At 40.3% G+C, this 24,006-nt stretch overlaps 1 protein-coding gene across 5 annotated transcripts in view; it reads left to right on the top strand.

Moving 5' to 3' along the window:
• TAF2 (TATA-box binding protein associated factor 2) overlaps window positions 1–24,006 on the top strand; it is a 102,068-nt gene that overhangs the window by 1,190 nt on the left and 76,872 nt on the right. For 4 of the 5 annotated variants that reach the window (NM_001437339.1, NM_001438084.1, NM_003184.4 and 1 more), the window contains exon 3: window positions 12,146–12,306. In NM_001437339.1, the coding sequence (NP_001424268.1) occupies window positions 12,146–12,306 (161 nt within the window). Of the gene's footprint in view, window positions 1–12,145; window positions 12,307–13,593; window positions 13,669–24,006 lie in introns of those variants that run through there. The other variant, XM_017013780.2, reaches the window with a different exon arrangement.

The following is a 24,006-nucleotide window of genomic DNA, read 5'->3' as shown; positions in this document are numbered from 1 at the left end:
ATAGTAACAAGTCCACTATAAAGAGTAACAATCCACCCCTCACAGTACTTAGAAAGTTTGTAGTCTTCCAGATAATTGTGTTTCAAGAATAGGTAAGAATTAAAATTAGGGTCTGTATGATTACAAGTTCCATGGTCCTTCTATTAATACCTATTGCCTCCCAAATTCTCCCTTTCCTTTTTTTTCAATTTCCTAATTAAAATTTTATTCCTCTTTATCTGGTGTATAATATGAAAGCCTGTATAGCCAAGCATTTTATAATTGTGCATGAAACAAGTATAAGCCCATAGCGACATTTCTTCTATGAAAAAAATTAAGATTAATACACTCACTGACTTGGCTTCTAAGAGGCCATTTTTGCTTCTTGACTGACTTGGTTTAGGTGATGTTGCTTTGTAATGAAGTTTTAGATAGAGTATTTGAGATCTAGAAACCCTCTACCTCCCCCTGCCTCCCGACACAATTTAGATGTATGGATTGCTGATATAATCAATTTTAGGAAAAAGCTTGAACATTCAAGTTTTTTGTTTGTTTGTTTGTTTTTGGAGACAGAGTCTCGCTCTGTCACTGAGGCTGGAGTGCAGTGCTGTGATCTTGGCTCACTGCAACCTCCACCTCCTGGGTTCAAGCAGTTGTCCTACCTCAGCCTCCCAAGTAGCTTGAATTACAGGTGTGCATGACCACGCCCAGCTTATTTGTGTATTTTTAATGGAGTCAGAGTTTTCTCCATGTTGGCCAGGCTGGTCTCGAACTCCTGACCTCAAGTGATTCACCTGCCTCTGCCTCCCAAAATGCTGGGATTACAGGCATGAACCACTGCACCTGGCTGAAAACTCAAGTATTTATTTAATTTACTTTCTTAGGGCTACCTTTATTACATAGGCTAAAATGTTAATGAGAGCTGGTTTTCCTTGAGTGATGGTATCAACTTCTCTGTCAGATTTGTTACCCATGTATGTATATATTTACTTAGGATAAGCTGAATAGATAGAAAAATGTCGCTTTTCATGAGTCATAGAATCTTAGATTTGTAATGTTCCTAAAAGATTTATTAAATTTAGTCTCCTCGTTTATGGAATTTCTCATGCAGTCTTCCCTAGGTTATGTACCTTATATCTTATATAGTAGGATACTTGAGTTGTATTATGTTGTATGAATTGGGTAGGAAAGATAAGGGAATTAGGGAGTCTAGTTCAGAGGTTACTGCGGTAATCTAGGGGAGAAATGGTGAAGTCCTAAATGAAGATAGCATTAGTGAAAATGGAATTGAAATAGAGTTGACATGATTGAATTAGTGAACATATATTTAGCCATTAATATATGTAAGATATCTTCTAAGGTTTATGTGTATTAACTCACTTAATCTTCATAATTACCCTGTGAGATAGATAATATTTTAATCCTAATATTAGAATTAAGGCATGATTGAGGCAGCTAAAAGAATGGAGGTTCAGGGCCAGGCACGGTGGCTCACACCTGTAGTCCCAGCACTTTGGGAGGCTGAGGCGGGTGGATCATGAGGTCAGGAGATCGAAACCATCCTGGCTAACACGGTGAAACCCTGTCTCTACTAAAAATACAAAAAATTAGCCGGCTGTGGTGGTGGGTGCCTGTGGTCCCAGCTACTCGGGAGGCTGAGGCAGGAGAATGGCATGAACCTGGGAGGCGAACTTGCAGGGAGCCGAGATCGCGCCGAACCTGGGAGGCGAACTTGCAGGGAGCCGAGATCGCGCCACTGCACTCCAGCCTGGGCGACGGAGCAAGACTCCGTCTCAAAAAAAAAAAAAAAAACTAAAAAAAGAATGGAGGTTAAGTAACTTTCTTAAGGGCATAAAGTTGGCAAATGATGAAACCCTTTTTAATCACTGATGACCTAAGAGTTTGATGCACTTTTTACGTCTTTCATTCCCCCTTCCACCTGTGTTGTCCCTGAGGAATCAATAGAAGTTGCATGTGGCTTTTTCAAGACTGCTATAAAGGGGTTGTGGATGACTTAAGTTTCCCATTGGAAACTTTGATTGGATGTTGTATGGGTTAGGATCTTGGTAGGAAGTAAATGGCAGATATACATATATGTATGTGTATATATATATACACATACATATATATACACACACACTCACACACACACACAAGTTAATTGAGGGAAATGAAGGGAGTATTTAGAACAGAGTTAACAGAAACCAACATGAGGTGGAGGAACCCTCTGAGCTATCAACAGTGAGGAACAGTTGTCTAGGCCTGAAACAACAACGGGAAGGGGAAGTTACTAGAACCTACTGTAGCCATGGAATGGGTCACCTTGTAGGACCTGTGTCTTTTAATAGAAGAATGAAGCTACTGCTTACCTGCAGCCTGGCGGAAAGGAATCTGGGGTAATTAATATAAACTTGCTTTCCTTCTGTTTTCCAGTTTCCTTTTTGTGGAAACTGTTGGACCAACCCAGCCAGAAGGGTAGAGCCCAGTTAATGCAACTCGTAGGGTATTGAGTAGGGTAGAGAGCAGATCAGGAGGGGCAAAATGAGAATAATCAGAACAGTCTACCTTTTTAACCCCAACGCATCCACTGTTGTCTTTGGTTGAGATGAAAAGCTAGTGCTCCTAACATGGGGAACTTACAAAGTCCTATGAGCCACTGAAAGAGTTGGTAATGGCTGACTACTTGTTTTTTAAGTGAAATGTTACTTGAACACAGCCATCCCCATTTATTTACATATTGACTGTGGAGGTTTTGGAGCTACGCTGGCAGAGGCGAGTAGCTGAGACAGAGACTGTGTGACCCACAAAGCCTGAAATATTTCTATCTGGCCCTTTAAGAGACAGTTTGCTAATCCCTGAGCTATTCTGTTAGTGTGAGAGATGACAGTTCAGCCCTGTTCCCACCTAAAATATTAGCTACCTCTAGTGTCTTTTATGCAAGATAGTGGAAAGAAAAGTGGTTGAAAGAAATAGTATAAAACTAAATTGTAACAGTCCCTGCTTCCCTTAGCTGGTAGTATGGCCGAAGTTGATACATACTGCTTTATTTCTTCACCCCTTCGGTGTTTCCTTTTCCTTCTGCTGACATTTCTATTGGGATGACCTAGACCCTTGTTTCTTTAGGACCTTCACTGCTGTTTATATCTTTATTGGGTTGTTGCAGTTTCTGTTGCCTAGGACTGTTAGGGGGGATCTGAGAGGCATCTGAGGGAATCCTCTAGATTTCAGATGTGATTCTTGTCCTTATTGTATAGCAAAGCTTTAATTTTCTGTTCAGTAATTGAAATGATTCATTCCAGCCAGAACAGGACCCCTTTCTCTGCTTTTTGGTTCTTTGGGATGAGGAGCTCAAGGTGGTCAAGGGGCAGCCTCAACTTCCAATGGAATGGAATCATGGTTATGTGCCCTGGTGGATGCATTCTTCACTTAGGCACTAGGACCTCTCAACATGCTGAACCCAGGGTCACAGAGACAGGAGGCAAAAATTCCTTCCATGGCTGGGCACGGTGGCTAACACCTGTGATCCCAGCACTTTGGGAGGCCAAGGCGGATGGATCACCTGAGGTCAGGAGTTCAAGACCTGTCTGGCCAACATGGTGAAACCCTGTCTCTACTAAAAATACAAGAATTGGCCAGGCGCAGTGGCTCACGCTTGTAATCCCAGCACTTTGGGAGGCCGAGGTGGGCAGATCACGAGGTCAGGAGTTTGAGACCAACCTGGCCAACACAGTGAAACCCTATCTCTACTAAAAATACAAAAAATTAGCTGAGCATGGTGGCGGGCACCCGTAATCCCAGCTACTTGGGAGGCTGAGGCAGGAGAATCACTTGAACACGGGAGGCAGAGGTTGCAGTGAGCCGAGATCATGCCACTGCACTCCAGCCTGGGCAACAAGAGCAAAACTCTGTCCCCTGCTCCAAAAAAAAAAAAAAAAAAATTCCTTCCATGGCCTTTTTGGTGTAATAGTGAGAGTAGTCACTCCAACTTTCACCCCTTGGTTCCCAGTTCTGTTTTGGCTAGGAGAGATACATTGTCTACTAATTAAAGGCAGCATCCTGTGGGAGGTTTCTCAATTGTAGTTGTAACTGAGCCTTCAGCAATTGATCATGCCATCTACTTCTGTAAGATAGGGTACAAGATAAAATGCATAAGTTTAAACAAATGGTTACTCTGTGTATGGAAGGGAAGGGCAGCAGGTTTGAGAGGAAAGATTTATAGGTCAGATTAGAAAATTACATTCCATGCACTTTGGGGTTATTAAATTGAGATGAATAGTGGGTAGTTGGCTACATGTCTGTGCAGATAAAGGATGGTGAGAGAAATTTGGGAGCCTTTGATATACAGTTGTTCATTAAGGGTGTGGAAAAGCTCACTTAGAGTATCTAGCAGGAAGTGAGCATCAGGGAGAAATATCTGAAGAACATGATATTTGAGAAAACTGACACTTGGGCTGTAGAAACCAGGGAAAACCTTTTTTTTTGAGACAGGATCTCACTGTCGCCTAGGCTGGAGTGCAGTGGCGCAATCACAGCTCACTGCAGCCTCAACCTCCCTGGGCTCAGGTGGTTATCCCACCTCAGCCTCCTGAGTAGCTGGGACCACAGGCACGTACCACCAGCCTGGCTAATTTTTGTATTTTTTGTAGAGACGGAGTTTTGCCATGTTGCTTAGGCTGGTCTCAAACTCCTGGGCTCAAGCGATCCACCCTACTTTGGCTTTCCAAAGTGCTAGGATTACAGGTGTGAGCCACCACACCTGGCTGAAAAACATATCTTAAGAAGGAGGAGGCTGGGTGTGGTGGCTCACGCCTATAACCCCAGCACTTTGGGAGGCCGAGGCTGGTGTAAGGTCAGGAGTTTGAGACCAGACCGGCCAACATGGTGAAACCCCGTCTCTACTAAAAATACAAAAAAATTAGCTGAGTGTGGTGGCAGATGCCTGTAATCCCAGCTACTCAAGAGGCTGAGGCAGGAGAGTCGCTTGAACCCAGGAGGTGGAGGTTCCAGCGAGCCGAAATCGCACTGCTGCACTCCAGCCTGGACAACAAGAGTGAAACCCCATCTCAAAAAAAAAAAAGGAGGAAATGGAATGGTTATTAATTTTAAATGTAAACAGGAAATATAAACTTGAAAACTGAAAGTAATCTTGGTCATAAGTGACCATAGCAAGGGTAAAGTATTTGTCCATTTTCACGCTGCTAATAAAGACATACCTGAAACTGGGCAATTTACAAAGGACAGTGGTTTAATGGAGAACTCACAGTTCCATGTGGCTGGGGAAACCTCACAATCATGGCAGAAGGCAAGGAGTAGCAAGTCATCTCTTACATGGATGGCAGCAGGCAAAAAGAGAGCTTGTGCAGAGAAACTCCTGTTTTTTTTGTTTGTTTGTTTCTTGTTTTTTTTTTTTTAATTATACTTTAAGTTCTGGGTTACATGTGCAGAACGTGCAGTTTTGTTACATAGGTATACATGTGCCCTGGTGGTTAGCTGCACCCATAAACTTGTCACCTACATTAGGTATTTCTTCTAATGTTATCCCTCCCCTAGTCCCCCACCCCGCAACGGGCCCTGGTGTTTGATGTTCCCCTCCCTGTGTCCATGTGTTCTCATTATTCAACTCCCACTTATGAGTGAGAACATGTGGTATTTGCAAAAACTCCTGTTTTTAAAACCATCAGGGCCAGGCACGGTGGCTCACGCCTGTAATCCCAGCACTTTGGGAGGCCGAGGCGGGCAGATCATGAGGTCAGGAGATCGAGACCATCCTGGCTAACACAGTGAAACCCTGTCTCTACTAAAAATACAAAAAAAAAAAAAATTAGCCAGGCGTGGCGGTGGGCACCTGTAGTCCCAGCTACTCAGGAGGCTGAGGCAGGAGAATGGTGTGAACACAGGAGGCAGAGCTTGCAGTGAGCCAAGATCGCACCACTGCCCTCCAGCCTGGGCGACAGAGCGAGATTCCATCTCATAAAAACAAACAAACAAACAAAAAAACCGTCAGGTCTCGTGAGACTATCATGACAACAGCACAGGAAAGACTTGCCCCCATGATTCAGTTACCTCCCACTGGGTCCCTCCCACAACGCATGGGAATTCAAGATGAGATTTGGGTGGGGACACAGCCAAATTGTATCATTCTGCCCCTGGCCCCTCCCAAATCTTAAGCCCTCACATTTCAAAACCAATCATGACTTCCCAACAGTCCCCCAAAATCTTAACTCATTTCAGCATTAACTCAAAAGTCCACAGTCCTAAGTCTCATCAGAGACAAGGCAAGTCCCTTCCGCCTATGAGCCTGTGAAATCAAAAGCAAGTTAGTTACTGCCTAGATACAATGAGAGTACAGGCAATGGGTAAATACAGCCATTCCAAATGGCAGAAATTAGCCAAAACAAAGGGGCTACAGGCCCCATGCAAGTCTGAAATACAGCAGGGCAGTCAAATCTTAAAGCTCCAAAATGATCTCCCTTGACTCCATGTCACATCCAGGTCATGCTGATGCAAGAGGTAGGTTCCCATAGTTTTGGGCAGCTCTGCCTCTGAGACTTTGCAGGTTGCAGCCTCCCGGCTGCCTTGACTGGATGGCGTTGAGTGTCTGCAGCTTTTCCAGGTGCACGGTGCATGTTGTCAGTGAACCATTCTGGGGTCTGGAGGATGGTGGCCCTCTTCTCACAGCTCCACTAGGTGGTGCCTCAGTAGGGACCCTGTGTGGGGGCTCTGACACCACATTTCTCTTCTGCACTGGCCTAGGAGAGGTTCTCTGTGAGGATCCTACCTCTACAGCAAATTTCTGCCTGGGCATCCAGGCATTTCCATACATCTTCTGAAATCTAGGTGGAGGTTCCCAAACCTCAATTCTTGACTTCTCTGCACTCTCAGGCTCACCACCACATGGGAGCTGCCAAGGCTTGAGGCTTGTACCATCTGAAACTATGGCCCAAGCTCAAAGTTGGCCCCTTTCAGCCCTGGCTGGAGTGGATAGGATGCAGGGCATCAAGTCCCTAGGCTGCACACAGCGTAGGGACCCTGGGCCTGGCCCACAAAACCACTTTTTCCTCCTAGGCCTCCGGGCCTGTGATGGGAGGGGCTGTGTGAAGACCTCTGACATGCCCTGGAGACATCATTTTCCCCATTTTCTTGGGGATTAACATTCAGCTCCCTGTTACTTATGCAAATTTCTGTAGCCAGCTTGGACTTCTCCTCAGAAAATGGGAGTTTCTTTTTTCTTTTTTTTTTTTTTTGAGACGGAGTCTCACTCTGTCCCCCAGGCTGGAGTGCAGTGGCTCAATCTCAGCTCGCTGCAACCTCCACCTCCTGGGTTCAAGCAATTCTCTATCTCAGCCTCCTGAGTAGCTGGGATTACAGGCGCCCACCACCATGCCTGGCTAATTTTCTGTATTTTTAGTAGAGATGGGGTTTCACTGTCTTGGCCAGGCTGGTCTTGAACTCCTGACCTCGTGATCCACCTGCCTCAGCCTCCCAATGTGCTGGGATTACAGGTGTGAGCCGCCATGCCCGGCCCGGATTTTCTTTTCTATCATTGTCGGGCTGCAAATTTTCCACACTTTTATGCTCTACTTTCATTATAAAATGGAATGCCTTTAACAGCACCCAAGTCACCGCTTGACTGCTTTGCTGCTTAGACATTTCTTCTACCAGATACCCTAAATCATCTTTCTCAAGTTCAAAGTTCCACAAATCTCTAGGGCAGGGGCAAAATGCTGCCAGTCTCTATGCGAAAACATAGCAAGAGTCACCTTTGCTTTAGTTCCCAACAAGTTTCTCATCTCCATCTGAGACCACCTCAGCCTGGGCCTTATTGTCCATATCACTATCAACATTTTGGTCAAAGCCATTCAACAAGTCTATAGGAAGTTCCAAACTTTCCCGCATTTTCCTGTCTTCTGAGCCATCTAAACTGTTCCAACCTCTGCCTATTACCTAGTTCCAAAGTCGCTTCCACATTTTCAGGTAACTTTTTATCAGCACCCCACTCTGTTGGTAGCAGTTTACTGTATTAGTTCATTTTCATGCTGCTGATAAAGACATACCTGAGACTGGGCAGTTTACAAAGGAAAGAGGTTTAATGGGGATCTTACAGTTCCACGTGGCTGGAGAAGCCTCACAATCATGGCAGAAGGCAAGGAGGAGCAAGTCATATCTTACGTGGATGGTGGCAGGCAAAAAGAGCTTGTGCAGAAAAATTCCCGTTTTTCAAACCATCAGATTTCATGAGATTTATTCGCTTTATGAGAATAGCATGGAAAGACTTGCCCTCATGATTAAGTTACCTTCCACCAGGTCTCCCACAACACATGAGAATTCAAGATGAGATTAGGGTGGGGACACAGCCCAAACATGTCAGGTAACTTCAGTGGAATGATGACTGCATAAGTCATACTGTACTGAATGGAAGAGAGAGTTGGAACAGTGAACATATTCTACTTTTTCAAGAATTTCTCTTTTGAAGGTATGGGAAAAAGATGGCACAAAATTCATTTGAGGATAGCATAGATCTAAAGGCATTTAAAACCTTGAGTCTTGAACATATTTATAGGCACGGAAAAAATTCTACAGAAAGGAAAGATTGTAATTATAGGAGAGAGAAAAACAGTGATATTTCTGAGGATATTGTGGGGAGTGGGTGCTAAAGGACCATTGGATATATCATTCTTAAACAGAAGGGAAAGATGGGTACGTGAAACAGAGGGGCAAGGTAATTGGTAGTTGGCAGAGGAGTGGTTGAATTTAAGGATTTAGGGTGAAGGGAGAAAAAGCCCCAGGAGTGCCAAGAAGATTAATAAATGCTTTTGTTATTCTTTTCTGAATTCTTTTCTGGTGAGAAACTGGAAGAAGTCAAGGACAGGAGGATTTCAGGCAGTTGAACAGGAGGACTGGGAGAGAAGTAATGAGAGGGGTGAGGAGAGGCATTGTGGACCTTTGAGTTCATAATGTCAGCATCAGAGCAGTTCTAAGCAGTGATGAAGTGCTTTTCAGAGTGTGATCTTGATTCTTCCTGGATGGAAGTGAAGATTGTAGGAACTGAGGTCAAGGAACTTTGAGGCAGTTTTATTGGATGGATCAGACATATCTATATTCAAGTCACTTAGAGTGATGGCAGACTTGTGTTACAAAAGAAGAGTATGTGACCAGTTGCAGTATTTATACCTGTAATCCCAGTGCTCTTGGAGGCTGAGATAGGAGGGTCACTTGAGGCCAGAAGTTCTAGACCAGCTTGGGCAACATGATAAGACCCGTCTCTAGAGAAAAAAATTTTTAATTAACCAGGTGTGGTAATGCATTTCTGTAGTCCCCAGCTACTCTGGAGGCTGAGGTGGGAGGATCACTTGAGCCTGGAAGATTGAGGCTGCAGTATGCCATGATTGCTACAGTGCACTCCAGCCTGGGTGACAGAGCAATACCCTGTCTCTGAAAAAAAAGAAAAAAAAAAGGCAAGAGTATGAGCCTTCATCAAATGTTGGGGAATTTCATAGATATTAATGAAGAAGCATAAAGGATGATGTACCTGTATAGCATGAACACAAAGGATAAGCAGAAAAGAATAACAAAAGCATTTATTAAGCAAATACTAGATGCCAGCTATAATTTTAAGTGTTTTCCATGTAAGTTTTTCAGTTGTCTTTGTTTTTTGAGATGTGATCTTGCTCTGTCACCCGTGTCACAATCATGACTCGCTGCAGCCTCAACCTCCCAGGCTCAAGCAATCATTCCACCTCAGCCTCCCCAGTAACTGGAACTACAGCCACCATGCCTGGCTAATTTTTTAATAGTTTATGTACAGATAGGGTCTTGCTATGTTGACCAGGCTGGTTCTGAACTCCGGGACTCAAGCAGTCCTCCTGCCTCAGCCTCCCAAAGTGCTAGGATTACAGGCGTGAGCCCATGCCTGGCTGTTCGGTTGTCATAATAACACTAATAGGCCAATAATGTCATTTTTTATGAGGAAACTGAGGCACAGTGGGCTGGAGTTACTAGCTCAATATCATACAGTTACTAAGTGGTAGAGCTAGGATTTGAATACAGGGAGTCTACCTCCAGAACACCTGCTTTTCACGGTGACACTACACTGTCCTTAACCTTGTAGTGTACAGTAAATAAAATCCTATAAGTGACCCAGAAGTAGTCGTGGAAACTAGGAGAATGCCTATTTTCCACTACCCTCGTTTATAGTGAATGGGAGAGTAAGTAGCTTCTTGTCTAGGAGGATTCAGGAACCATTTCATTTAAGGCAAGAGGGTAGAGAGGGAGTTTTAGAAAAGGTTGAAAAGCACAGGGGAAATGTTTAAAATGGAGTGTGGGCTCCAGGAGAATGGTTATCTGTGAAGTGGTGGGGAGAGAGCAAGAAGCAAGGAGTGAGAAGCTAGATGACCCGAGAGGCTTGCAGTTATGCCAGTGGCTAAGGGCAGCAGAGATTGAAGACTTGTAGAGGTTAATGGGTCCGAATGTTTCAGGCAGCTGTAGGTTAGAGCCCTAGGTGGTGGCAGAGGCCTGATGGTACAAGGAGACTGGGCTTTTCCTATCTTCCTGAAATACATTTCATCATTCTATTATTGTTACCAGAGTTTAGAAAACCAGATGCTGTTCTTATGTCCCACCCAAGTAGCAGTTGACAGTACTTCTTTAATCTTTTGTTTTGTAGTTGTCTTGGTTCTAAATCTTATCTTTCAGCTGATCCAAGCTCATTTAAATTTAGAATGGTCATTGGATGACAGATATGCTAATTAAAAGGAATTCTGGTCTTCCTTCCTACAGCAGCTCATAGTTTACACCTTTAAACACAGAATCTTTATCAACTTTATTTTGGCCTTTGTTCTTTTGTTCTCTGTGTTTCTAGCTCACAGATATGTGCTGATTGTTCTAATTTAAGTGTATGGCTCTCCTCTTACTTGGGAATTGAGAACAAAGGGGCTACAGAATCTCTAGGCTTTCTTGAGCGGTTGGACTAAATGTTACCTAAAAACAATTCTTGCATATCATTTAAAACCCTTGTACCCACAGGCATTATGGCATAGTGGGAATTGTTTGGAATTATTTAGTTGTGTTTGAATCTCTAGTCTCTACTTATTACTGACCTACTTTTTTTGCCTTTCTTATCTTATCTGTAAAAAGTTAACTTTTTAATACTGTACAGTAGTATTTGTAGCTTCTCTGTAGAAAGTATAAAGTAGTACTTGTCTCTTAGAGTTGGTATTAGGATTAGAGGGAACATAGGAAAGTATCTAGTGTAATGTCTGGTACCTGGTAGCAGCCATTATAATCTAGTCCTCTGTGGTTGCTGTCTGAATTTTGTCTTAGATATTTCTGTTATAGCCTCTGAAATTTTTCTCTTCACGTTGGAGTCCTGAAATATTGCTATTTCATGCTGTCCCTTGTTTTATGTTTGAGTACATCAATTTTCAACCCAGGATATTAAAATCAATTAACATATATTCTGTGTTTCATCTGTTCGTCTTTCCCATTGATTCAATACAAGAGGGTGGTGGGCAGTCTGTATTTAACTGTTTTTCATGTGTTGGATACAGAGACATTGCTACCATACAGCTAACATGGTAGAACTACATATGGCCTCTGGACTACTTGACAGGAAGTGATTGAACACTGTGATGTATTTGCTGCTCCTGGATATGGCAGCAGATTTTTCCTACTTGCCTTGGTATCTTTTGTAGCTCTTGCTGTTTTACCTGTCCTAATTTACTCATGAGCAGAAACTCATACTTGTTAGCTTCAGTGGTATAATTTTTTACCCCTTTTTTTTTCTGCCATGTTCTTTCACTCATCACCCTTCTGATTTTGATTCCCTTTCTGCTCTGTAATTTTTTTCTTCTTCCCTTTTTAGGGCCTAGTCTGTTTAGAAATTCTGGTTTTTGAGAGTAGTGAGCCCTTTTACTTTTTTCTGACTGCCTAATTTTCACTGATAGTGAATATGAACCACCAGGATGATAAAGTATACATAACTCACACCCATTCAGTCACTAGGACAATCATGTTTGAAATTAAGATACTTGGAGAGCATATGTATGTATGTAGCTATTAGGGATTTTGTCTCTGTAGTATAATATGTGTACAAGTGGTAAAAATAAAAGAAATATATTCTGAAACATACCAGTCTTTATAATGAAGTTGTTATTCTCTATCTTTACAGGGATTTGTGGAACTGACTATATTTCCCACAGTTGCAAACTTGAATAGAATCAAGTTGAACAGCAAACAGTGTAGAATATACCGAGTAAGGATCAATGATTTAGAGGCTGCTTTTATTTATAATGACCCAACCTTGGAAGTTTGTCACAGTGAATCAAAACAGTAAGTTATGCACTTTAAAAGTCACTATTTTTAACAGTTTTGAAAAAATGTTTTTAATGATTGGATTAGTTTTTCTCAAAGTATTTTTTTTTTGGATCGTTAATGGGCTTTGAATCCCAATCTTTATCTGTTTTACCACTCTGTACATTTGGTTCAAGTGATTTTGCTAGCTGTGCCCAACGTAGTTACTAAGTTTCCCTTCTTCATGTTAAAACTTTAAGGAAGTGTTATCTGGGAACTTTAATTAGATTTTCTTAGTCATTTTTTTTACTTTCAGTGTTTTTCTTAATTATTTACTTCATAAATTTTGAAAGTAATTTTCAGTGGGTTAGATGGTCACTGTAATCTGTAGACCAGAGGCTACTTTAAAATATTCTATAAAAAAGTTTTAGAAAGTAGATAATGAAATTGACTGCATTAAACTATCTTATAAACATATTAGGTCTAAAGTAGCTCGTTTCTTCACCTTAGATAAATACTACATCTATTGAGGCTACTTCTGATTTTTATCATTAAACATATATTGCTGTTATCAGTTTTATGTTCTACTTCTATTTCATACTTTGTTTCCATTTTCTGTGTGTGTGTGTGTGTGTGTGTGTGTGTGTGTGTGGACTTCATTTTTTTGTCATCTTTGTGGTTAAATAATACTCCATTTGCTCAGTGTAGTATAGTTTGTATAATTATTCTCCAGTTTTTTGGCATTTTGCAGTCATAAGTAGTGAGTGAATGTTTTGTCACATACAAATTTTTTTCCCTTTGATTATTTTACTTTTCATTTCTAATGGCTGTTTTCAGTATTTTACCTGATTGTGCCCTAGTGTTTAAATGTCTACTACTTTAAATACTATCAAGTACAGTTGAGGGCACTTGCTTTTTCAAAGCTTTGATAACATTGGGTTATATCATTTCTGTGATTCTTTGTGTTTTGGGGTAGGATGCCAAAACTTTATCATAAACTTTTTAGTCAAGATGATGTTTTAACTAGTCTAGAGGTATAATGCCTTAAGGCAGCAGTTCTTAAAGTGTGATTCCCAGACAAGCATCAGCATCAACTGGGAACTTGTTCTACAGGCCAGTTCTCAATCAATACCCCAGACCCACTGAATCAGAAATTGTGGGTAGGCTCCTACAGTTTGTGTTTTAAGAAGCTTGCCAGGTGATTCTGATACAGACCGAAGCTTGAGAACCACTGCCATAAGCAATTGCAAAGTTTTAGAAGGGAGGCTTATTTTTAGACATATTTATGGTCCCAATAATCATTGGTTTAAAATCTTTCACATTTAGAGAGGAGATACACAAATGGGATTGGAAAAATTCAGGGAACCCTGATTTACTCCTGTAACTTTCCATTTCACAAAGGTGAGTTGTTGAAATTACATTGCTTTTAAAGCCACATTTGTAGAACTGACATAAAAAGACTTATTACAAAATTATCTGCATCCCTTTCCCCCCAGAAAACAAAAACAAAAACTTCTACCTTTGGGGAAGTTAGTATACACTAATAAATGGAAAGGTCACCTGATAAAGAGCAGATAGAGGACCCATTACCTTGCCAGAAGGCCAAAATATCCACCCTATCCAGCCTAGAACTCTGCATTTGATAATAGGGTAAGATGCCTGTTTGTCAGTCACAAAAGACAGTGTCTGTACATCTTTTTTACTAATAATTTGTTGTTGCTGCCCAGGTCTCAGGATAATCTGTTAAGTGTAATGACAGGGATCCTGGTCTGTTAAGGAAGCAAGCTTTACTTTGCTCTTTTTATTTTGATAATATTCCCTAAAATTTTTCTCTAGTAATAATGGAAGATGCCTCATTACTTTTAGTGTTCTAAATCAGCAGTTTCTTGGAAGACAGTTTTTCCACGGACCAGGGGGGCAGAGGGGGTTTTGGATGAAACTTCCACCTCAGATCATCAGGCATTAGATTCTCATAAGTAGTGTGCGACCTAGATCTCTTGCATGCGCAGTTCACAATAGAGTTTGGGCTCCTATGAGAATCTAGTGCTGCTGGTGATCTGACAGGAGGCAAAGCTCAGAAGGTAATGCTTGCTCACCCGCTACTCACCTCCTGCTGTGTGGCCTGGTTCCTAACAGGCCACAGACCTGTATATATATTATATTTATAATACAAAGAATGAAAAGGAAGTTATAAAAGAGAATCTTTTCAAAGGTTAGGCTAGGAAATTGGGAAAGATGGAATGTATTTAAAGTTTTTCATTCAACTAGAACCATAGCTCTGTTGGCCATGGCCACTTAGTAAATGCTTGACTAATAATTGTCTACTATGCTTGACTATCCCTGCTTTTTTGCTTAGCTTTAGAATCTTGATTACTCTTTAAGAGAGGTGATTTTCAATATTTTTGCTTCTGTTTATCCTCTGAATTATTCAAAAAGAATTTGAAATTTATTTTAGAGTTTTATTAGACGAAAGTTTTAGAAAGTAGCTAATGAAATTCGCATGAAGGATAAACAAGTATAGGATGGTGGATACTTACTATTAAGTTACTGCACAATTCCTAGAGGAAAACTGTAGATTTGTGTCTTATATTTCTGATTGCCATAGCAAAGAGGGTTTTTAAGATTCATAAGACATGACAAAAACACACCAATTATTCAGAAGAAATATTATGTTTATTGGCAGTTAGATATGAAAAAGACAAGTGAAAGATGTTATTTTTAAAGAGAACTTTGGGAAAGGCAGATAGCTAAGGCCTTTAGCATGCTCCTAGATGCTTCTGTTACTTATTTCTAAAATAACTTTCTTTCTTTAATGAACCAATAAAGCTAAAACAGAAATTAAATATAGCAGTTTTGAAATTAAAAGTGAAACATCAAATTCCGTGGTAAATTTGATTTTACCATTGATTTTACATACAAGTATGTCTTAACACTGAAAGAAATAATATTTAATCACATTTTCTTATTATTTGTTTTAAAGTTAAGGTGCCATGCCCTCCCTATTTTTGATTGAAAGAGTGTGCTTACAGGCCTGGTGCGGTGGCTCATGCCTGTAATCCCAGCACTCTGGGAGGCCGAGGCGGGCAGATCATGAGGTCAGGAGATCGAGACTATCCTGGCTAACACAGTGAAACCCCATCTCTACTAAAAAAAAAAAATACAAAAAATTAGCCGGGTGTAGTAGTGGGTGCCTGTAGTCCCAGCTACTTGGGAGGCTGAGGCAGGAGAATGGCGTGAACCTGGGAGGCGGAGCTTGCAGTGAGCCGAGATCGCGCCACTGCACTCCAGCCTGGGCGACAAAGTAAGACTCCGTCTCAAAAAAAAAAAAAAAAAAGAAAGAGTGTGCTTACAGTGGTTGAGATTCCTTTGAACTGTAGAGGAATATAAGGAAAAGAAACACTTGGATAAGAGGCTGAAAGGCATTTCTATCTATTTTATCCAACTGTTAGCTGACATGTTACATTACATATACTAACAATTTAAAAACATATTGGTTATGTAACGTGTATAAGCAGCTGTCTTTTTGCTTTACTATTTGTCAATAAAATAATTCAGCACTTGAAGTTTTTCGACATATATTTTGTGTGTGAATCTTATGGATTGTAGATAGATTGTAGATTGTCTCCACAGGAGCTACACTTTGGTGTTTTTGTTTTTGCTGTACTTCTCTTTTCTTAGAAAAAGTTAAATGTAGACTTTGTCAGAGAAACTGTCTCTGTGGATGGGTAACCTAGCTTTTTTTCCTCTTTGTTTTGTTCCTAGATAGGCTTTGCCTCTTTTTCTTTTCTTTTTTTTTTAAGACCAAGTCTCGGCCGGGTGCAGTGGCTCACGCCTTTAAATCCCAGCACTTTGGGAGGCCAAGGTGGGTGGATCACGAGGTCAGGGGATCGAGACCATCCTGGCTAACACGGTGAAATCCCGTCTCTACTAAAAATACAAAAAATTAGCCAGGTGTGGTGGCAGGCGCCTGTAGTCCCAGCTACTCTGGAGGCTGAGGCAGGAGAATGGCGTGAATCCAGGAGGTGGAGCTTGCAGTGAGCAGAGATCCAGCCACTGCCCTCCAGCCTGGGCGACAGAGTGAGACTCCCTCTCAAAAAAAAAAAAAGACCAAGTCCCGCTCTGTCATCCAGGCTGGAGTGCAATGGTGCAATCTCTGATCACTGCAACCTCCGCCTCCCAGGTTCAAGTGATCCTCCTGCCTCACCCTCCCGAGTAGCTGGGATTACAGGCATGCGCCACCACACCTGGCTAATTTTTGTATTTTTAGTAGAGACAGGGTTTCACCATATTGGTCAGGTTAGTCTCGAACTCATGACCTTGTGATCATGAGTTCGAGATCATGCCTTGTAATCATGAGTTCGAGATCATGCCTGCCTCGGCCTCCCAAAGTTCTGGGATTACAGGCGTGAGCCACTGCACCTGGCCAGGCTTTGCCACTTTGAGAAGCCCCCCACCCCGCCCCACTTTTTTTTTTTAAAGACAGAGTCCTGCTCTGGCGCCCAGGCTGGAGTGCAGTGACACGATCTTGGCTCACTGCAACCTCCACCTCCTGGGTTCAAGCGATTCTCCTGTCTCAGCTTCCCTAGTAGCTGGGACTACAGGCACGCACCACCACACCCGGCTAATTTTTTTTTTTTTTTTTTTTTTGTATTTTTGGTAGAGACAGGGTTTCACCACATTGGCCCAGCTGGTCTCGAACTCCTGACCTCGTGATCCGCCTGTCTCAGCCTCCCAGAGTGCTGGGATTACAGGCATGAGCCACCACATCCAGCCGAGAAGCCCTTTTTTATTTTACTTGAAATGTCCCAACTTTTCAGTGTCAAAAATGAGTTTAATTTCCACCAAGGAGGGGCAGCAGAAATGAAATTATCTATTTTAGTATATAAATGAAGTAGTTATCCAGTTATAATGATTTTTTTAAATTGCTGTGGTTTTTTTTTTAAGATTTTGTAGATTCTATATTTTAATGCAGACTTCTACATGGAGTTTAAAATTATTTCATTAATGTCACATAATAGAAATTGGTAATTCCCTTATTGATTATGGTTAAGTAATAGCAATAGTTTAACTGAGCTACAATGCTGCACTGCCAGTTGGTTTATTAGTATTAGAATTAAGTTATCTTAGAGTTGGAGGGACATTAGAGTTCATTTAGTTTAAACTTCAACATGAAGCCTTACTATTTCATCTTCTACTTGAATACTTCCAGTTCGGCAGGGCTCATAATATGTTTTTCTTAATTTTTTTATTTTTATATTTTTAAAGACAGAGCCTTGCTCTGTCACCCAGGCTGGAATGCAGTGGTGTAATCATAGCTTACTGCAGCCTTGAACTTCTGCACTGAAGCCATCATCTACCTTAGCTTCTCGAGTAGCTGGAACAATATGTGCATGCCACCACGTTCGGTTAATTAATTAATTTTTTATTTTTTACTGGATGCATGGTCTCACTATGTTGCCTAAACTGGTTTTGAACTCCTGGCCTCAAGTGGTCCTTCTGCCTTGGTCTCCCAAAGTGCTGCAATTACAGGCATAAGCCACCATGCTTGGTCCTCATTATATTTTAACACACCCCTTTCATTATTTCTAAATGCTGGAAAGTTCTTTATTACATTGAGCTACAGTTCATTTTGCCTTAATAGTCACAAACTTAATCCTAATTAAATACATACCTTTCCCCTAAGTTTTCTTATCTTCAGGCTACAGAATTATTGAGATTACTCTCAACCATTCCTCATGTTAGAAACTCTTTCTCAATTTATTTCCATCCTCTTTGTCCTTCTCTGGATAATCTCAGATTTGATACTGTGTTTTCTTAAATGTGGTAATCCCGGAACTCTAGATATGGTTCTTCCTATTTGGACTAATCAGTATATACATTCCAGTAGATCCATTTTGTCCTTTATCTAGATACAGTATTTCTAGTAGCTTGAAACTCATTTGCCTTTTAAAAGTTGTTTTAGGATTAAAAATCACAAACCAAATATCCACTGTCCTCAAGAGAATCACCTAACACCCATAAGGATTCTTGTAGACTCATGGTAAAGGGGTAGCTATTGTTTTATATCAGATAGCAGGAGTAGCTATTCTTTTATATCAGATAAAACACATTAAAGCAACATGAATAGGCATTTGTTAAAAGAAGATATACAAATAGTCAACACATATAAAGAAATTCTCAACATCACTAATGATCAGGGAAATACAAATTAAAACCACGATGACATACACCTTATCCCAGCCAGAATGGCCATTATGAAAAAGTAAAAACAAAACAAAAAAAACAGATGTTGGCGTGGATATGGTAAAAAGGGAATTGCTTATACACTGCTGGTGAGAATGTAAATTAGTACAAGCTGTGTGGAAAACAGTATGGAGAGTTCAAGTAGATCTACCACTTTATCTGGCGTTCTCACTACTGGCTATCTATTAAAAGGAAAATAAGTCCCTATGTCAAAAAAGACACCTACATGTCTATGTTTATTGCAGCACAATTCACAATTGCAAAGATATGGAACCAGCCTAAGTCCACATTTAACTGATGAGTGGATAAAGGAAATGGTGTGTATGTGTGGTGTATGTATACATGTGTGTATATACACACACACATACACCATATATACACACATATATACACACACACACACACACACACACACACACACACCATGGAATACTACTCAGCCATAAAAAAATAATGAAATGTCTTTTGTAGCAACGTGGCTGGAACTGGAGGCCAGTATTCTGAGTGAAGTAACTCGGAAATGGAAAACCAAATACCATATGTTCTCATTTTTTATTTGTATGTTGAAATCTAAACCATCAGATTATTCGAGACTAAGCTATGGGTATGTGAAGACATACAGAGTGATAGAAGTCTGGATATTGGAGACTCAGAAGCGGGGAGGAGGGAGAGATTTAAAAAATGACATATTGGGTGCAATGTACACTACTTGGGCAACAGATACACTAAAATCTCAGACATTCCTATTGTAAAATTCATCTATGTAACCAAAAACCACTTGTACACAAAAAGCTATTGAAATTAAAAAAAAAAAAATGAGGCAGCAATCACATTCGGCTCCCTGTCTTGAGCTATCTATTAATGCCTTGAAACTGCCTGTTATGGCCCAGGTAGTTAGTTAACCTAACAAGGTCACATAGGATGCTATAACTCACACCCTATAGCTTAAAAATATATAGCCAATCACTAATCAATGTTATTTCTTTAAACCAGTGAGAATCCCTGACAGACAGTTTTGTGTCAAACCACTTCCTGTCCCTCTTTTTTGTCTTTAAAAACTTGCGTGCAACAAAGTTTAAATGGAGGCCATATCCAAGGTTACTTGGGTGAGTCTTCTGAGCAGCTGTTGTCACTTTGGCTCATGTAAACGCTCTAAATTTAAAAAAAAACAAAAAAGTTGCATTTGTAGTTGGATCAAATTTGAGCTTGTAAGCAGTGAAACCCCTAGGCTTTTTCATAGGAAAACCTGTTAAGGTAGATTTTTCACTCAGCAGCCTTATGTCATGGTTCCAGGTTAAATTTTGTTTTGGTTATTTTTTTTTTTTTTTTTTTTTTTGAGACGGAGTCTCACTCTTTCGCCCAAGCTGGACTGCAGTGGCGCTATCCCGGCTCACTGCAAGCTCCGCCTCTTGGGTTCATGCCATTCTCCTGCCTCAGCCTCCCGAGTAGCTGGGATTACAGGCGCCCACCACCACGCCCGGCTAATTTTTTGTATTTTTAGTAGAGACGGGGTTTCACCGTGTTAGCCAGGATGGTCTCGATCTCCTGACCTCGTGATCTGCCCGCCTCGGCCTCCCAAAGTGCTGGGATTACAGGCGTGAGCCACCGTGCCCGGCCTGTTTTGGTTATTTTTAGAGTCATCCTTGTTCATTGTGGTTTTGGCTTATTACTTTAATTTTTCAGTTTGTGAAAATTTATCGAGCTGTTTACTAGGGCGTGTGTAGCTTTCTGATTTACTTCCATAAAAGTTTACTTCCATAAAAGTTTACTTCTATAAAAAATTTTTTAAATAGAGGGAAAGTTTACAAATAATTGAAACTGAAGTTTTATAAAATCTGCATCTATAGTTTTAAGAGGCAGATGTTCTTTATTTGACAAATGATTATCATATTAATTCAATATGGATATTTAAAATTCTTAGAGAAAATTATATCTATTCCCTTAATTTACTAATTTTTCAATATCTCTCTATAGCATTTCTTCTCTTTAAGTTGCATTTCTGTAAGGAGGATTGGGAGATGGGGATGGTAGAGGTTATAGGGCAAGGACATTAAATATTTTGTAGTCATTATTATTCTGAAAATTGAAAACACATTATAATTTTACACTGTAATTTTTGACTTCTATGAGGTTATTATGAAAGAAAACATTTGATTTGTGTATTGAAATCTAAACCATCAGATTATTTGAGACTGGCTTCCCAGTTGATTGCATTTATAATGACTCACTCATTTTATTTGGACCACTTCACCTTTTCTCAGGAAATGAGAAGATTAAATGAAAATAATTTCCCATAAAAAAACTAATTAATATGTAATGTTTAAATCTGGCTTTCTTTTTGTACAATAGTTATTTTATTTTTGCATTTCCCTGATAACTTGGGGTGGAATACAAGTTTTGCAATCATCAAATTTTATGTTTTTGAAATTTTATTGAAAATAAATTATACTCTATAGATAAAATAGTCCTTAAAATTAGATGGTGTGTTAAGTAAGTGCTGACAAGGATTTGGAGCAACTGGCACTTTCAGATCTTGCTGATGGCAATGCAGAATGGTACAACTCTTCTGAAACAGTTTTGTAGATTTTTAGAAAGTTAAATGTGTTTACCATATGACTCTAGTCCCACTGTTAGGTATTTGTACTACAGAGATGAAGCTTATATTCACACAAAAATCTGTACACAAATGTTCATAACAGTTTTATTTCACACTTCCAAAGCTGAAAATAACCTAAATGCCCTTCAGCTGGTCAATGGATCAACAAACTGGTACAGTCTATACAATATAATACCACTCAATGGCAAAAGGATCAAATTATTAATATATGTAACAACTTGGATGAATTTCAAAAACCTAGTGACACAAGCCAGTCTCAAAAGGTAGCATTCTATGTGATTCCATTTATTTAACACAAAGGATAGCATAAGGGACTTTTTGGGGATGATAGAACTGTTCTATATCCTACTTTTGGTGGTTAACTGAATCTGTACATATGTTAAAATTTGTACAACTGTACACCCCCAAAAAAGTGGTTTTTTTAATTGTATGATAATTTAAAAAAACACAGGCATACCTCCTTTATTGTGCTTTGCTCTGTTGCTCTGTTGTGCCTCGCAGATACTGTTTTTTTTTTTTTTTTTTTACAAATTGAAGGTTTGTGATAACCTTACATCAAGAAAGTTTATCAGTGCCATTTTTCCAACAACACATGCACATTTCATGTCTCTATGTCACATTTTTGTAATTCTTGCAATATTTCAAACTTTTTCATTATTATATCTGTTAAGGTAATCTGTGATCAGAGATCTTTGATATTACAATTGTAATTGTTTTGGGGACGCCACAGATGGCATGCATATAAGATGGTAAACTTAAATGATAAACATTGTGTGTGTTCTGACTACTCTGTGGACCAGCTGTTCCCTGTCTCTGTCCCCTTCCTCGGGCCTCCCTGTTTGCTGAGACACACAATATTGAAATTAGGTCAATTAATAACCCTACAATGGCCTCTGAGCATGCAAGTGAAAGGAAGAGTCTCATATCTCACACTTTAAACCAAAAGCTATAGAAATGGTTAAGCTTAGGGAGGAAGGCCAAAAGCTAGACCTCTTGGCCCCAGTTAGCTAAGTTGTGACTGCAAAGGAAAAGTTCTTGAAGGAAATTAAAAGTACTGCTCCAGTGAATACACAAATGATAAGAAAATGAAACAGTCTTATTGCTGATGTGGAGTAGGTTTTAAAGATCTGGATAGAAAATCAAACCAGCCACACCATCCCTTAAGGCCAAGCCTAATCCAGAGCAAGGCTTAACTCTCTTCAGTTCTGTGAATGCTGAGAGGTGAGGAAGCTGCAGAAGAACATTTTGAAGCTAAGAGAGGCTGGTTCATGAGGTTTAAGAAAAGAAACTTTGTCTGTAACATGAAAGTGCAAGGTGAAGCAACAAGTGCTGATGTAGAAGCTGCAGCAAGTTATCCAGAAGATTTAGCTAAGGTTTTTGATGAAGGTTGCTACACTAAGCAACAGATTTTCAATGTAGATGAAACAGCCTTCTACTAGAAGAAGATGCTATCTGGAACTTTCCCAGCTAAAAAGAAGTCAGTGCCTGGCTTCAAAGGACGGGCTGACTCTTTTATTAGGGGCTAATGCAGCTGGGAACTTTAAGTTAAAGCCAGTGCTCATTTACCATTCCAAAAATCCTATGGCCCTTAACAATTATGCTAAATCTATTCTTCCTGTTCTCTGTAAATGAAGCAACAGAGCCTGGATGACAACAGGTGTTCACAGTATGGCTTACTGAATTGAATATTTTAAGCCCACTGTTGAGATTACTGGTCAGAAGAAGAGTCCTTTCAATATGGTACTGCTTATTGACAAGACACCTGGTTACCCAAGAGCTCTGATGGAGATGTACTAGGAGATTAATACTGTTTTTATGTGTGCTAACATAACATCTATTCTGCAGCCTATGGATTAAAGAGTAATTTCTACTTTCAAGTCTTATTATTTAAGAAATGCATTTCATAAGGCGATAGTTGCCATAGATAGTGATTCCTCTGAGGGATCTGGACAAAGTCAGTTGAAACCCTGAAAAGGATTCACCATTCTGGATGCCATTAAGGACATTCATGATTTAGGGAGGAGGTCAAAACATCAACATGAACAAGGGTTTGGAAGAAGTTGATTCCAAACCTCATGGATGACTTTGAGGGGTTTAGAGAAGGAAGTAACTGCAGTTGTGGTAGAAATAGCAATGAAACTAGAATTAGAAGTGGAGCCTAAAGGTAAGACTGAATTGCTGCAGTCTCATGATACAACTTTAATGGACGGAGGAGTTGCTGCTTATGGATGAGCAAAGAAAGTGGTTTCTTGAGATGGGATCTACTGGTGAAGATGCTCTGAATGTTTTTGGAATGTCAGTGTTCATTGTCAACAATGTTTATTTAACAGAAAGAAATTATTAAAATATATTGAGAAGTCTTTTCACTTCCAGAACTCTGTGCTTTGTAGTTGTTACCTTGAATAGTTGTTAAAGCCATAGTTATATTATATCCTTCCTAACTGGTAGAGAGATTGATGAAGATGGAGAGGGAATGGCCTCTGTCAAGTTAAGAGTCTGTAGCCTTAATGTTTCTTTAATGGCTTTTCTCATTTTATTTTTCCTTTAATTATTCCGTAGAATATGTGGAACTTGTCTTTTTATTTTTATTTTTTAATTTTTTTGAGAAAAAGTCTCACTCTGTTGCCCAGGTTGGAGTGCAGTGGTGCAATCTCAGCTCACTGCAACTTCCGCCTCCCAGGCTCAAGTGATTCTCGTGCCTCAGCCTCCCGAGTAGCTGGAATTACAGGCATGCACCACCACGCCTGGCTAATTTTTGTGTTTTTAGTAGAGAGGGTTTCGCCATATTGGCCAGGCTGGACTTGAACTCCTGGTCTCAGGTGATCCACCACCTTGGACTCCCAAAGTGCTGGGATTACAGGCATGAGCCACCGTGTCCA

The sequence above is a fragment of the Homo sapiens genome, chromosome 8, assembly GCF_000001405.40.
Source record: "Homo sapiens chromosome 8, GRCh38.p14 Primary Assembly".
Classification (NCBI taxonomy): domain Eukaryota; kingdom Metazoa; phylum Chordata; class Mammalia; order Primates; family Hominidae; genus Homo; species Homo sapiens.
This window is presented reverse-complemented; position numbering and strand designations above follow the sequence as displayed.